At 36.0% G+C, this 16,447-nt stretch overlaps 1 protein-coding gene across 49 annotated transcripts in view; it reads right to left on the minus strand.

The window, feature by feature from the left end:
* BAZ2B (bromodomain adjacent to zinc finger domain 2B) overlaps positions 1 to 16,447 on the minus strand; it is a 397,131-nt gene that overhangs the window by 53,781 nt on the left and 326,903 nt on the right. For all 49 annotated transcript variants that reach the window (XM_047444047.1, XM_047444046.1, XM_047444040.1 and 46 more), the window contains 5 exons: positions 16,063 to 16,277; positions 14,514 to 14,588; positions 13,467 to 13,710; positions 5,599 to 5,661; positions 3,953 to 4,097 (listed from right to left, as the gene is read on the minus strand). In XM_047444047.1, the coding sequence (XP_047300003.1) occupies positions 3,953 to 4,097; positions 5,599 to 5,661; positions 13,467 to 13,710; positions 14,514 to 14,588; positions 16,063 to 16,277 (742 nt within the window). The remainder of the gene's footprint in view (positions 1 to 3,952; positions 4,098 to 5,598; positions 5,662 to 13,466; positions 13,711 to 14,513; positions 14,589 to 16,062; positions 16,278 to 16,447) is intronic.

Raw genomic sequence — 16,447 nt, forward strand, 5'->3', positions numbered from 1 at the left:
AATTATCTGCTTTTCTGGGAGTTCAATTTCACGTTTATTAAAAGGTCCACTTAAATAAGCTGGGAAGTTTGTGGAAAAGCTTAGGATTTGAGCTGGATCAAGAAGGATGGGTGAAATTTCGATGGTAGAAGAAAAGCAGATTATTATTATAATAAACAAGATTTGGCAAAGATGCAAGGGGAGGAATACACATGTGTTCAGTGAGTAGACTGGACTAGTTGAATTCTCATTAACAGAACAGCATAAAGACAGCTTGGGGTCAGAATTGTATACAGTCTTGAATGCCAGGCTAAGTACATATTTAACTACATCATGTTACAGGTTATAGAGGTCATTTAAGGTTTCAGAGTAGAGACATGATATGATGACAGAATGTGATGGAAGGAGGGAATTGTATATAGAGAAGTTGAGGACAGGTGTAATAATCCAGGTATACAATGATAAAGAACTGATTTCAGTAGTGTTGCAAAGAGACTGATTTCAGGTATTTTGAAGGAAAGTTGATGTCCTAGATACTTCAAGTTTACATGCCCAAGTGACTAAGAAGAATGTGGCTCTTAAACATATTGAATATTTAACTGGTCTGGGGTAGGGCTCAGATTGATCATTTTCTTAAGCTTTTCAGGTGATTCATAAGGTTAAAAAGCCACTCACCTAGGCATTAAAAAAAAATCTTTGTTGGACATTTGAGTTGGTTCCAAGTCTTTGCTATTGTGAGTAGTGCTGCAATAAACATACGTGTGCATGTGTCTTTATAGCAGCATGATTTATATTCCGTTGGGTATATACCCAGTAATGGGATGGCTGGGTCAAATGGTATTTCAACCCAAATGTCCAACAATGATAGACAGGATTAAGAAAACATGGCACATATACACCATGGAATACTATGCAGCCATAGAAAAGGATGAGTTCATGTCCTTTGTAGGGACATGGATGAAGCTGGAAACCATCATTCTCAGCAAACTATTGCAAGGACAAAAAACCAAACACCGCATGTTCTCTCTCATAGGTGGGAATTGAACAATGAGAACACTTGGACACAGGAAGGGGAACATCACACACTGGGGCCTGTCGTGGGGTGGTGGGAGAGGGGAGGGATAGCATTAGGAGATATACCTAATGTAAATGATGAGTTAATGGGTGCAGCACACCAACATGGCACATGTATACATATGTAACAAATCTGCACGTTGTGCACATGTACCCTAGAACTTAAAGTATAATAAAAATATATATTTATTAAAAAAAAAACTGCTCTTAAGTCTCCTAGGCACTGTACTACCTTTTTTTTTTTTTTTTTTTTTTGAGACGCAGTCTCGCTCTCTTGCCCAGTGGCACAATCTCGGCTCACTACAAGCTCCGTCTCCCGGGTTCATGCCATTCTCCTGCCTCAGCCTCCCGAGTAGCTGGGACTACAGGCGCCCGCCACCACGCCCGGCTAATGTTTTTTGTATTTTTAGTAGAGACGGGGTTTCACCACGTTAACCAGGATGGTCTTGATCTCCTGACCTCGTGATCCGCCCGTCTCCGCCTCCCAAAGTGCTGGGATTATAGGTGTGAGCCACCGCACCCGGCCCAGGCTCTGTACTTCTAAATGACCCATACTTTTGTCATTTTAAATTAGATCCTATACTAAAACTTTGACTTAATTTCATTTCAAACAACCCCTCCTATTGACTGCTCTAATTCATTTTAAAGTATCATTCATTTATTTATTTATTTAGAGACAGATCTTCACTCCTGTTGCCCAGGCTGAAGTGCAATGGCACGATCTCGGCTCACTGCAACCTCTCCTTGCCTCCTGGCTTCAAGCGATTCTCCTGCCTCAGCCTCCTGAGTAGCTGGGATTACTGGCATGCGCCACCACACCCGGCTAATTTTTTTGTATTTTTAGTAGAGATGCGGTTTCTCCATGTTGGTCAGGCTCGTCACGAACTCCTGACCTCAGGTAATCTGCCCGCGTTGACCTCACAAAGTGCTGGGATTACAGGTGTGAGACACCGCGCTCGGCCAAAGTATCATAATTTTTGTTATGTATGTATATATGTATGTATTTATTTATTTTTGAGACAGGGCCCGCTCTGCCACCCAGGCTGGAGTGCAGTGGTGCACTCTTGGCTCATTGCAACCTCTGTTTCCTGGGTTCAAGCGATTCTTGTGCCTCAGCCTCCAGAGTAGCTGGGACTATAGGCACGTGTCACTGCATCTGGCTAATTTTTGTACTTTTTGCTAGAGACGGGGCTTTGCCATGTTGCCCAGGCTGGTCTCAAGCTCCTGGCCTCAAGTGATCTGTCTGCCTTGGCCTCCCAAAGTGCTGGGATTAAAGGTGTGAGCCACCATGTCTGGCCCATAATTTTTCTATTGGGAAATAAGCCATTAAATTTATCTCTAATTTCCACTTTCCTACATTATACTCAATAATTTCTTACAGCAATTCAACCTTCAAGATCCTTCTTTCTGTCTTCCTTTTATCCCTGTTTGCTCCTGAGGTTATGGCCTCCCTACTTCTTAGCTGGGTTACTGTAACGGTTCCACAGTCAGTTTCTTTACTACTTCTTCCAATCCAATGCGTACTTTGCTCCCAGGTTATCTATTTTAGTGTAATTCCCCTGCCAAAATTAGTCTCTGTTCTCCAAGAGCTCACAGTCTAGTGGCAGAGATGGCCATCTGTACCAAACATTATGACAAAATGTTAAGTAAGGTACATAATGTTTCTCAGCTTTGATCCCTCTAGGCACTTCACTTTCATAGGTTCTGAGCTTACTCTTTAGTGCAGAATCCTAACATTATTAGAGATGCCTCTGGGATCATTCCTGAATTGGAAAGCAAGTATACAGAACAGAGGTCTATTTGTATAAGCTAGAAAATTCTCCCAAGTAGATCAATCAGAACAATTCATTTTTGTTAGATATTGAGATTCTGCATAACATTTTCATTTAAAAAAAAGTGATCCCATTACTAAAAACAAAACCCTTAAAAGCAACTGCTTTATTTATATTTTCTATTAGAGTCATCTATATGATTAGCCAGTCTTCTCTCCCCAGTGGACTATAAACATGACATGGATTCTATTTTATACAGCTTTGTGTCTCCTACAGTGCCTAGAAATGTCTAGCACATAGCAGGCATTCAAAAATGTGTTTTATCTTCCATGTCTGATGGGGACAAAAGTGTTAATGTTAGTGCTTACAGATTTTCAGAATGTAAGAACATTTTTGCTTCCATGTACCAACATGAGTCAATAGCTATTCTAAAATATATAAGCACTAACATAACACTTTTGTCCCCATCAGAATTTGGCATTTGAAAATGTCCAGACATGGAGCTCTGAAAAGTTAAATTCGAGAAGGTTTACTGAGCACATAAATGCATAATGCACTCTGCTAGTTAATGTAACAGAAATGGAGCCAGCGAAAGAAATCTAAAGGTAGAATATCATGAATTTGTGGTAACACAAAATTCAAAAAAGGAAGAAGTCTGAAGGAGAAGGAAGTGATCACAAATTTCAAACATTAACAAGATTTGAAAAGGAATGAGGATTATGATGAAGATCTTAGATTTAAGCAAGTTACCTGCAGGGGGTTACTGTCAGGATGTATGCTTATTGTAAAAGAATAAACCACTTATTGGGAAGTTTGACAATGGGAAGAAAGAGAAATGGAGCAGCAGCTATAAAAGGTAATATAGATGGAAATACAAGTCTCTGTCCACCAAAGAAAGAAAGAACAGCTTATGTCTGATGTCAGAAAGAGTAGCAAAAGAATATCAAGGGCTAGGAGGAAGTGTGTATCAGTGAAGGGGCATTATGAGTGCAAAAGGAATGAGAATTAAGGTTTTACATGTTTACCAAACATTGATTATGGGAACACAAAATATATTGAAGAAGTAACAGAGTTTTAAAATATATAGTTTCTTATTTAACAATTTGTATCGGATTATGAGTTCTAACCTTCACCACTCTCCATGCCTTCTACAAAAATCCCCCCACATTGGGGAAGAATCCAGTACCGGCGTCTGTAACGATCTTGGCCAAACATCACTGAACGCAATGAGTGAGACGCATCAAAGAGCTTCCTTCTGTACTGACTCTGTTGCTGTTAAAAAAATGGTACATATAATTAGGTTTGGGATGTTAAATGCTTTAAAAATTAATATATATGTAACTTTATACTTATTGTACCTTTAAGCACATAAATTTCACTACTGGGAAAAGAGCAAAAGGTCTAAATATTCATGCCTGACTTCAATTTCAGTAACATTTATAAAGATAGAAATCATTTTAAGGATAATTATTTTTGTTGCCATGGAGTAAAAGGATAAGCTACCTGATAAAATAAAACTTATCCTTTTACTTGATAATAAACAATGGGATCAAGTATTTTATGGAGCCAAAGCAAACTGGTTCAATTCAATTCTATTGCTTACAGTATATAACAAATAATACATATAATATGGCCAGGCACAGTGGCTCATGCCTGTAATCCCAGCACTCTGGGAGGCTGAGGCGGGTGGGTCATTTGAACCCAGGAATTAGAGACCAGCCTTGGCAACATAGTGAGACCCCATCTCTACAAAAAATATGAAAAATCAGCTGGGCACGGTGGCACATGCCTGTAGTTCCACCACCAGGGAGGCTGAGGTGGGAGGATCGCTTGAGCCTGGGAGGTCAAGGCTGCAGTGACCACGCCATTGCACTCCAGCCTAGGTGCCAGAGCAAGACTCTGTTTCAAAAAGCAAAGCAAAACAAAAAACAAATAATATATATGTAATTGGCTAAACCTGTATTTGCCTATGTTTACACTCATGTTGTAAACCTAGACAACATATAATTAAGTTTTGGGATAGGTCTGTGAAGAATCTAATATTAATACCATACACAGGCATCTCGTAATACCTTTGAAAACTCATTTTTGTTCTTATAAAAAGCTCATCTTAAATTTCACTAATGCTATGAAATTCAGTTTTTCTTAGTTTTTTTTTCTTTTTTTTTTTTTTTTAGAGACAGGGTCTCGCCATATTGCCCAGGCTTTTCTCAAACTCCTGGGCTCAAACGATCCTCTCACCTCAGCCTCCCAAAGTGCTGGGATTACAGGCGTAAACCACTTCTGAAATGGAATTTTTAACAAGATGTATGTAAATACATCCACAGTTTACAAATCCAATGCAAATAAAACCCACAAATATACAAATGTAAAATAAAACCTAAGATGCTGAAACTGTTACTATGAAATTCAACTGAATTTTTTAGTAATTAATTCCAAGAAATAAAACTATGCCTTAATTGACATTTTGTATTTATATGAAGAGCTGAAGAGTATAGAATATTTTCTTTCTAGGCTCTGATTAAGTTCAATATCACGTTTTAAGAGGCAGGCTTTTAACCTTGGCATTAAGCTTGTAAAGTTCAATTGTAAGAATGTTTCTAGTGTTCCTCATCTTATTTTTTTTTCTGACAAAAATGCTATTCAGAATCTTCATTTTTAATTACTCACCAAAAGCCTATTTTTGCTTAGCAGTCAGAAAAACTAATCCCCTTACAATGTAGATTTCTAAAACACTGTGAAGAAGTTAAATGTTAATCAGAAAAGTGCTTACTTTACTCAGTTTTTCAATCTGTTTTTCCAGCTCTTCAACACTTGCTGCTTGGTCACCTTCATCCTATACATAAGAAAATACAGTGTCATTTATCTGTTTTAAGATTTATTTATTCAATCAGTAAATATTTAATGAAAGTCTCCTATAGGCACTGCGGAAAGGTATTAAGACTCAGTTCTTTTCTATAAACTAATAATCTGGTAGAGAGATACATAAAACATTATGTTTAAAAAAAACACAAAAACCTAGGTATGGTAGCTCATGTCTGTAATCCCAGCACTTTAGGATGCTGAGGTGGCAGGATCATTTGAGGCCAGGAATTTGAGACCAGCCTGGACATCATAGTCAGACCCAGTATCTACGAAAAATAAAATTAGCTTAGTGGCTTGTTCCTGCAGTCCCAGCTACTTGGGAGGCTGACACAGGAGGATTGGTTAAGCCCAGAAGTTCAAGGCTGCAGTGAGCTATGATCATGCCACTGCACTCCAGCCTGCAGACCCTATCCCCAGAAGAAACAAAACAAAACATAGCAAACCACACACACACAATAAACTCCCCCAAAGCAGGAAAGTATAAGGGTCTCAAAGAGAGGTAGTGATTAAAACCTGTGAAGTTCAAGGCAGAGTAAGACTACTTTTAGTGGAAATGTATACCAAGGGAGGCTTTATGAAGAAGTCATGTTTTAATTAGCTACTAAAGAATGGTTAGAAATGCATCCAGCAGAGAAAAGAGTCTGACATGTCTTGACATGAGAGGTGCATAAAGAGGTAAGGTAGGAGATGAGGCAAGATGAGTTTAAGGCTAGATTTTGAAGAGCTGTAAATGCTTGGCAATTAACAAAATGATCCTTTGAGGGTGGGTTAAATATCAGAACTATGCTTTCCAAAGGTTGTTCTGGCAATAGTTGTAAGATGGTGTGGAGCAGAGAAAGGATTAAAATTGGTAAAACTAGCTAACAGATTAGAGAAGGAGGGATATGGTTCTTACTAGCATAAAAGAAATAAAGATGGAAAAAAGCAAATGGATGTAAGAGATATCACATAGTTATAGAGCTGTTAAGTCTTGCCAGCTCATGAATATGTGGCACAGAGGGGCAAGGGAGATGATGGAATAAATAAATTATGATGTTAAGGTTTTAAATCTAGGAGACTGGAAAAATACTGATACTATCAACTGAAGGAGTTATTTTTGAAGGGAAGAAGATTAGTTATACTATATACTTGATATACTTGAACACATTGAGTTTTTAGAATAAAAATAATTCCTAACATGCATAGTCCTAATTTCATAAATAGAAGGTTTGTAAGTAATTGTGTGAAATTTGTCATTCCAGAAAATGACAACAGAAGAACTATCTCCAAATTGTAGGTTTTAGAGGGAAAGCATGAACAGAAGGTACACGGGTTTCTTTGGATCTTATCTGCACTACTAGACATAGGCAAATTACTTAACCTTTGTAAGTCTATTCATCTGTAAATTTGGTGATAATGTTACCTACTACATGAAGGTTTTGTGAGGACTAAGTAAGAACAGATCTGAAAGTAACCAACAGTGTTCCTACTTTAATAAGAAGATGCAGGTACAGCCCAGATTAAAGAAAAATAACAACTTGTTTTTGATGTTTACTTCCTATAAGCATTTATAAAAAGCCACACTGTCACCAACCACACACAAATATATATTTCTGACCAGTATGGCTACTACCCAATGAAAAAAAAAGTGAAAAAAAGACTCCCATAGTTGTACCATTATCTCTCATTCATCCGCTCCTTACCCAAACTTAGGGAACCCAGTTACAAAGGTATTTAGGCACATTATTTGTGCTAACAGTAACATGAATTCTATTTGGAATTAAAAGAAAACTCAAAAGATAACTAGCTCAACAACTCTTAAATCTTGACTTTTATGTGAATATTTATATATAGATTCTAAAATGATCTTCTGATCAGCAGGACAAATGTCTGATAATCTGTTCATGCAAAAATACAGTTCAATCAATAAATATTCAAAATAGATATCAAATATTTGAAAATGCCATGTATCAGCCAAATATTCTAACTGCAATTTTTAAGACTCTTCCTATGATGCAAAAAGAAATAAAATGTCTCCTAAAGTTTTATTTAAAGGAGTTTTGGCTAATAGTACTTAAAATTTTCAGACATTAAAAAAACCTTGGAAGAATAGACAGAAAGGTAGTAGCAGCAACAACAACTAAGAACACAGAATCTATCCCAGTCACAGTTCCCCAACCAAAAAACAGCATCATTATATGTCCCTATATGTCAGAGTTTAATTGTCCACAGAACCTCTCACAGGCCAACTTGTGAGGTTAAACTCCCATAGGTCTCAACACAACTCTACGGAATGAAGGAATGAAGAGTGAGGAGAAGAGGGAATTCTCTTTGAGATAAAGGGGCTATGATCTAGTCAAGGGCAGTATCTTCTAATTGAAAGGGATCCTATGGGTCTCAATAAGAAAACCTCCCTGCCTTAAAGGAAAAATCAATCCTTTAAGGAAGGTAACTACCAATACCCTACTTAAAACTTAACTGAGAGGCCAAATCTATTTTTTGAGAACTAATGTGCCTAACTTATCAATTTCATTAAGTAGTCAAAATTTTACTTACATAGGAAATTGATGTGTCTGCCAGTTCTTTATTATAAAGAATAATTCAAATCATTTAACATGAAATGTTAATTTGACTTATTAGGTCCTAATATTTATTACTTTATAAAATTTTGAAATTGTTTTCTCACATTACTAACAAGGATCTACCTTTGCCAGTGAAATCCTAAAATCTATTTAACTCTATAATTCAACACTCATAAAAAAGTGAAATATGGCTGGGTGCAGTGGCTCATGCCTGTAATCCCAGCACTTCAGGAGGCCGAGGCGGGTGGATCACGAGGTCAAGAGATCGAGACCAGCCTGGCCAACATGGTGAAACCCTGTCTCTACTAAAAATACAAAAATTAGCTGGGCGTGGTGGCAGGCACCTGTAATCCCAGCTACTCGGGAGGCTGAGGCAGGAGAATCGCTTGAACCAGGAGGCGGAGGTTGCAGTGAGCTGAGATGGTGCCCCTGCACTCCAGCCTGGGTGACAGAGCGAGACTCTGTCTCCAAAAAAAAAAAAAAAAAAGAAGTGAAATACTACCTTAAATGACACATCTCCTTTAAAACTTTAATAATGATTTTCAAATAGTCTATGTGTAAAGAATAAAATGTATGGTTTGTTAGTTCTCTGTTAAAAAAGAAACCAAGTGAAACAAATAATTTCTGTAAATAAATTCTAGTTTAGTAAGATAACTATACAGGGGAATAAACTAAAATCCCAGTACATAGTTGTCCAAGTTATTGAACTTATGAGTTAACACTTTAAAACAATTTATAATGTGAAGTGCTAAAAGAGGCTACTAATTCTATGAAAAGGTGATTAATTTTGGTCAGAAAGGCTTAATTCCTGCTATGGAAACAGCTCCACTTGCCAAATGAAGCAGATTGCTTATAAATGTTATCTTTTGTTTGGGTAATTACACTTCTGATACTCAAATTATATACCCTTCATATTATTTGTCACAGATGAATGTACATAATTCAGTAGTTTCAAAAGTATAATATTATGAAATAAATTATTTCTGCAAGGAATCTCAATGTAGTCTCATTTTCAGATTGGTACTCTTAAAAGCAGTAAAGTTAAATTCATTACAATGAGTTCTTGAATATGACATGAAAAACACAGGGAATAAAAGCAAAAACAGACAAGTGGCACTATATCAAATTAAAGTGCTTCTTCATGGCAAAGGAAACAACAGACTGAAAAGAGAACCTACAGGACAGGAGAAAACATTTGCAAATCATATATTTGATAAGGGGTTAATATCTAAAATATATAACTCTTACAACTCAATAGCAAAAACCAGATAACCAGATTTTAAAAATGGCAAAGAACCTGAATAGACATTTTTGCAGTGAAGACATACAAATGGCCAACAGGTATGTGAAAAGATGTCCAACATCACTAATCAGGGAAATGTAAAATCAAAATCACAATGAGATATCATCCCACACCTGTTAGGGTAATTACTCTCAAAAAGAAAGAGAAAGAAAGAGACAGACAGGAGTGTTGGCAAGGATATGGAGAAATTGGAACTCTCATACACTGTTGGGAGTGTGGGATTGTAAAATAGTGTTACACTGTTGGGAGTGTGGGATTGTAAAATAGTGTAACCACTATGGAAAACACTATAAAGGCTCCTCAAAAAATTAAGAATAGAACTATCTGATCCTGCAATCCCACTTCTGGGTATTTATTCAAAAGAACTGAAATCAGGATATTGAAGTATTTGTGCTGTCATGTTCATTGCAATGTTATTCACAATGGCCAAATGGTGAAAGCAACCCAAGTGTCCACTGATGGATGGATGAATAAACAAAATGTGATATATATATACAGTGAATATTATTCAGCCTTAAAAAAATCCTGCCATAAGTAACAACATGGGTGAACCTTGAGGACATTATGCAAAGTGAAATAAACCAGTCACAGAAAGTCAAATTCTATATGATTCCAATTATATGAGGTATCTAAAACAGTCAAACTCATAGAACCAGAGAGTAGAATGGTGGTTGCCAGGGGCTGGGAGGACAGGGAAATTGGGGAGTTCCTATTTAATGGGTGTGAAGTTTCAGTTATGCAAGATGAATAAGTTCTAGAAAGCTGTTGTACAACCTCATGCCCATAGTTACCAACAGTGTATACTGTACACTTAAACATTTATTAAGAGGGTGAATCTTACGTTAAATGTTTTACCAAAATTAACAAAAAAGAAAAGTTCATTCTAATAAATTTTACCATTCTGATTTAAAATACAACATTGGAAATGGAGAATTTATGACAACATTTTGTACTCATGATATTTTTACTTAAGAAAGAGAATTATGTAGCATATTATAAATTCTACATTGATTCATAAATTTGATTATCATTGGTTCCAACTAGATATTATTTTCACACATTCCATCGATAAATTCATCTCTCAGCTTTCTTTCACATTCCATTGATAAATTCATCTCTCTAAGCTTTCTTTATTTCTCCAGCATTACTGAGTTGATGCAATAAGGGAAAAGAGTTCTTTCTAGACTTCCTTAGCTAAGAGCTCTTAGCATTGAGGGCAGAAGAAATAGTTAGCTGCATGTTGTTTTTTGAGGTCAATTCCACAGCCCTATCTAGCATTCTTTTCTGATAAAAGGTGAACTTCAATCTTTTATATGTGTCCATTTTCATGACTTATGGTAGCTTTCCCTAAACTCATATACATACACACACACACACACATCCCTCTATGACCTTGCCTTCTTCCCTTTGACCTACTCTTCAAAGGTAGCTCCTTCACCTTGATTGAAGCCCCTCCAAAATCTTTAGAACCTTATACCACAGTGCTTTTTAAAATTTCTTTTATCTTAAATCCCCTTCTCTCATTTTATTGACTCTTTTCTTTCCATCAAAAATCATCTCGTCTTTAACATCTGTAAAATCCTTGGCTCCTTCTCCTGCTCTAGGAACTCCCTGTCTTCTGAGGCACAATGCTTGAAATAGTCATCTTCATTTTCTCACTTTCTATTGTAATCAATCAATTACAGCCTGGTAGGTGTGCTCATCCCTCTAATAAAACTGTGTTGACACTGGTTACCAATGACCTCTATGTTGCCAAATTCAATCAACATTTTTGGTCCATATCACACTGCTTTAACACTGTTTATCACTCTCCTTTTTGCAATGTTTGATTTTCTTGATTACTGTTATTATTACATGTGTAGAAAAGACTTAACATAGCAGGCCTGATTGGTATCCTCTGGAAGGCCTTCTTACAAGGTTGGTCCTTGGCCTGGCATATGGGAACTTGGATTTTGGGAGGGTTAAGATGAGCTCTTAATATGGACCTGAACTATTTGCGCTAACAATGTGGATTATGCTGAATACCTGCTTTTCTTCAGGGAATCTGATATTTTGGCACATGCTATGCAGAGGGTACCTACAGGTACCAGCCCCCAGTAAAAACCTGGACACTGAGTCTCTAATGAGCTTCCCTGGTAGATAACATTTCATGTATGTTGTTGAGTGAATTAAGCCTGTCCTGTGTGACTCTGCTGGGAGATGACTCTTGGAAGCTTGTATCTGGTTTCCTCTGGACTTTGCCCATATACTCTTTGCTGATTTTGCTTTGTTTCCTTTTACTGTAGTAATTCATTGCTATAAGCACAAGTATATGCCGAGTTCTGTGAATCATCCTAGTGAATCACTGAACCTGAAGGTGGTCTTGGGGACCCCCAACTCACAGAAATCTCTAACCTCTCTGCTCTTGCTTCTTGAACAAGGAGCCTTGTGGGCTCCTATTAAATACTGATGTTCCCTGAGGTTCCAACCTCAGTCCACTACTCTATTCACTAAACCAATCCCCCTCTGTAATCTTATTACCTCATGATTTTAAATTATCATCTACCTGATAATAACACCCAGATCTATATTTCTAAGAGCAAACTCTTCTTCAGGCCTCAGATTCCTAAATCTAACTGACTGCTAAGCTCCTATACATGGGTACCTCAAACTCAGCAAGTCCAAAAATAAATAATCATTTCCTGTCTTCAATTATCTGTTCCTTTACCTCCCCCTGCCCCCAATTATCTACTTACTCTGTTCCTGATTTCCCTATTTTAGTTAATGGCAACAATAGCATGAAGTCTTCCAAACCAGACTGCTGGAAATCAATCCTACCACTCTAACAACCTACATAGTCTACCTTCCATCTTCAAGTCCTGCCCATTCTTCCTCCTAAATATTTATTAAATCATTTCCTCCCTCATCCCAACTACCATTGCTCTAGTTTCTACCCCTCACAACTCATCTAAACCATTGCAGTATCTCCTGACTGATCTCTGCACTTCTGATGTTGCCCCACCTTTTGTGTCTTTCTCACAGCTGCCAGAGTGAGTAACTTAAAAATTAATGCTGACCATGCCATTCTCTGATTATAACCCTTCAGTGGCTTCCTGCCACTAAAAAAGCAAAAGATCCTAGTTCATCATTGTTGCATATGAGACTCCAGTAACACTGAAGCACTTGCAATCCCCTTAAAGCACATTGTGGTTTCCTGCTTCTGTGCCCTTGGTCATGCATTTCTCTCTGCCTGGAACACTCTTCCCTAGACCTTTACCCAGGTTAATGTTCAGCTCAGCTTATAGCCTGAGCTGATGGGTCCAGAAACTCTTTGTGGGAGTTTATTACTCAGAAAGTCTAAATGCTCTTAAGTTGTATCTGCCTAGCACATTGTCAATACCCCTCTCAAAGCAGTTATCACATTATGTTTTCTTTTTGCAAATCCTTCTCAGTGAGACTGTAAATTGAGATGGGACTTTCAGTGCCTTATTCGTCTTTGATTAAAAATACCTAGAACTAGAGAAATAGTAATTGGTGTTTGAGGAATACATTATTTTCACTAAACCTGACAACACTTTTAAAGGCATGAAGCGCTGTACAAATGTAACACAGTATGTTAACAGAATGAAACAAAATACCTGAAATTAAAAATCTGCATATCTCTTTGGAGAATTCTCAAGAAATTATATTAAAAAAACTTCTTTTATTCAGTCTTAGTGTCTTTTATGTATAGACATTCTACAAGATATTTACATAACCATCACAAAAATCTTTATGGGATACAGATTGTAATATTTGTTTTTCAGATGAGGAAACTGAGGCAAGTAAATGTCAAAACTGAATTCAAATCCGAATCCATCTGACTCCAAATTCTGTTTTTAAAAATATGTTATGCAGTTCTAGTTGTCTTAAAATCAACCTAAATTTCATTACCTCATCTTCACAGATATCAGTCTTTTTTCCTTTTTTGTCTTCTTTATCTTCTTCATCCTCATCATCTTCATCCCCTTGGTCATCACTGTCATCGTCATCATCATCGTCATAATCACTGTCTCCTCCCTTCCTTCTTCGCTTGCGTCCTGGAGTGGGTGTGCCCAAGGGATGCTGCTCTTCTCCCAGATCAATGCCACCTGAAGTGTCTCTTTTGCCTGTTTTCTTAGCATGAATGATTCTGAGCCTTTAAATATTATGAAAAGTGATGACAAGGAAAAAAAGACTTCTCAATATACTTTTAAAAGAGCAAAACATGAGTTGTATGCAAAAATACCTTATGGCATTTCTTTTGTGTTAAGCGATATACCAATGTTAAAAAAAATTAGAATTAGGAAACTTAAGAAATGTTTCCATAAATTACAGGATGCATTCACTTTCAAGAGTTATTCTAGATATCTCTTTGGAATTAGACTCATTAAAAAAAATGATGAAAGTTGAAAAGAAGAATTCTAACAATGGCTGAGTAATAATTTCTGATCCCATACTAACTGACTGAATAAATTTCAATTCAAATTACTACAAAGAAACTAACCTCTTAACATAGGAGTAATTTCTGCCTGATATTTTCTGGCAGGAAGATAATTAAGTTTTAATGCTGAATAAGTTTAGCTAGATTCCGTAAAAGCAAATTTTAATTAGAAAGCAATTAAGAAAACAAGTTACAGTTCCAAACATTCTGTTTGTGATAAAAGCAACTTAATAGCAACCACAATCTTAGAAAATGTAATTGCTTGACTTGTTTAAAAGAAAAAGAGAAAATGACTTTCTTCTAAGTATGAAGAATATAAGCTCAATGAATCTCATTATATCTTTTGTCCATTGCAAATTCTGCCCCTGAGTTTTATTAATTTTATATCCCATCTAAATTGAGCATTATCTTTTCTTTAGACAATAAAAGTTTAAATTCTATCTTTGCAATTCATATGCTTTACTGGGAATTTGTAGAAAAAGAAAACAGTACATTAACTTTAATAAAACAGGACTTACTTGCGGAGTTTACCTTCTACCACCCATTTATCTCTCCTCAAGTTTGACATATAATCAATGTTCTTGTCGATTTCACTGCCAATGCAAGAATTTATTAAAAAGTGTAAATTAATCAATTTATGCAATGCATTAATTTGATATGCAATAAACTTGATACGTAAATTAATGCATTTTTGAATAAGTAAAAATGATACAACTGACCTCATGCATATACACGTTCATATATGTATGTGTTTATATATGTATACACAGATGTTGAAAAGTGATAACTTCTTCAATGGATACAACATTAGTATTAGAAAATTCACTGTGGTTTCTATCTTAAACCAAGAAAGAAACTATGCATCAATTGCCTTAGAAAGACAATATTCCAAGTTTTGTTGCAGGTATTTTAAGATGTGATAATTTCCAAAATCAAAGCAGGATACCAGAACACACATGGATATTTACATAAGTGCACATACATACATATGCATATACACTAAGTGTATATATATAAACAACCAAACAGTAACTAAGAATATTATGATATTCTTTACCATTCTGTTTTACTTTACCAGTAAAGTCAAATAGGGATGCTTTTTCCCTTCTAAGGCAAAAACCATAGTGTACCATTTACATTGAATTTGGGTGTATGTGTTTTGAATAAGTGCCACTTAGCATTACTATTTGTTATCATGCTCATGCTTAAATGAAATTATTCTTTCATAAAATTGTAAGACGTGAATATTATTATATTTTTTAGGATGACTGTCAGTGAATAGCAGAAACAAACAAAAAATTACATTAATACAATATCATAGCTAAGATAGGTACAGAAAACTTAAAATTTCCACACTGGTAGAAATGCATGACCCCGAATATTTGGATTGATCCTTTTTCTAGAAAGGTAAAGGACTAAAAGTTGTTAAAAATCTGTAAAATAATGAATAACAAGGACAAGATGAACATGAATTTGTTCAGAAATCCTGAATACTAGAGTACATGTTGGTATTAGTATTTTACTAGTAACAAGTACTAGAGTGAGAACTCTGACTTTTAAATAGGATCAAATGCTTTAAAAAAGTATAAATTAATACACTGATAAATAAATACTCTATGGTTCTATTAGCATACAACAAAATAAAAAGTGGCTACGTAATTCTGTGAATGGCTACTAAGCAAAATCAGGTAGTCATCTGTCCTTAAAAGACGTGAAGGAAAAAAAAATTCTGTATTCTTGTGGTGGTACCACATTCTGGTACCATAGCAACTAAAAATATAAAAAAAGTTATGTATAAAGAATTAACAGAATTATTAAACAAAACAGGTGACAAAGACCACGTATTACAGACACACAGTATAATCCAAATTTTTTTTCAATACACTACAAAGAAATACATGAAAATATTATTAGTGGCCATCTCTAAATACTGAGATAAGTACAATTTTAATTTTCTTCTTTGTGCTAGTCTGTAACTTTCCAATTTTCTATAATCAATTTGTATTACTTTTTGATTAGAAAAATTCAAAATGGAAAAATCACGGAAAAGCCTGGGCATATGCTCACCTGACCACACTCTTGCTGCATGCCAGTTCATTGATCAGGAAAGCCAGGACTGAAGCTTTCTGTGCTGGAGTGTGAGCCTGAAAAGCTTTGGTCTTCAGACTTTCAGTAAGCTCAGTTTGTCCACAGTGGGCTTCCATAAATATCTGTAAAATCTCGGAAACATTGTCTCGATTCACACCAACATTCAGCAAATGTTCTCCAAGAGCTGTTTTAGCCTATAAAAGTTTGGCATTTTTATCAGTATTACTCACAACCATTTATACCATAAAAACAATAAGATTAAAAATCCTCATATTATTTGATTTAGATACTACTGACAAGAGCTTTATTCACTTTTTTTTTAATGAAAGAGACACAAAAATAGTCAATAGAAGACAGACAAATA

This window comes from Homo sapiens, chromosome 2, assembly GCF_000001405.40.
Source record: "Homo sapiens chromosome 2, GRCh38.p14 Primary Assembly".
In the NCBI taxonomy this organism is placed as follows: domain Eukaryota; kingdom Metazoa; phylum Chordata; class Mammalia; order Primates; family Hominidae; genus Homo; species Homo sapiens.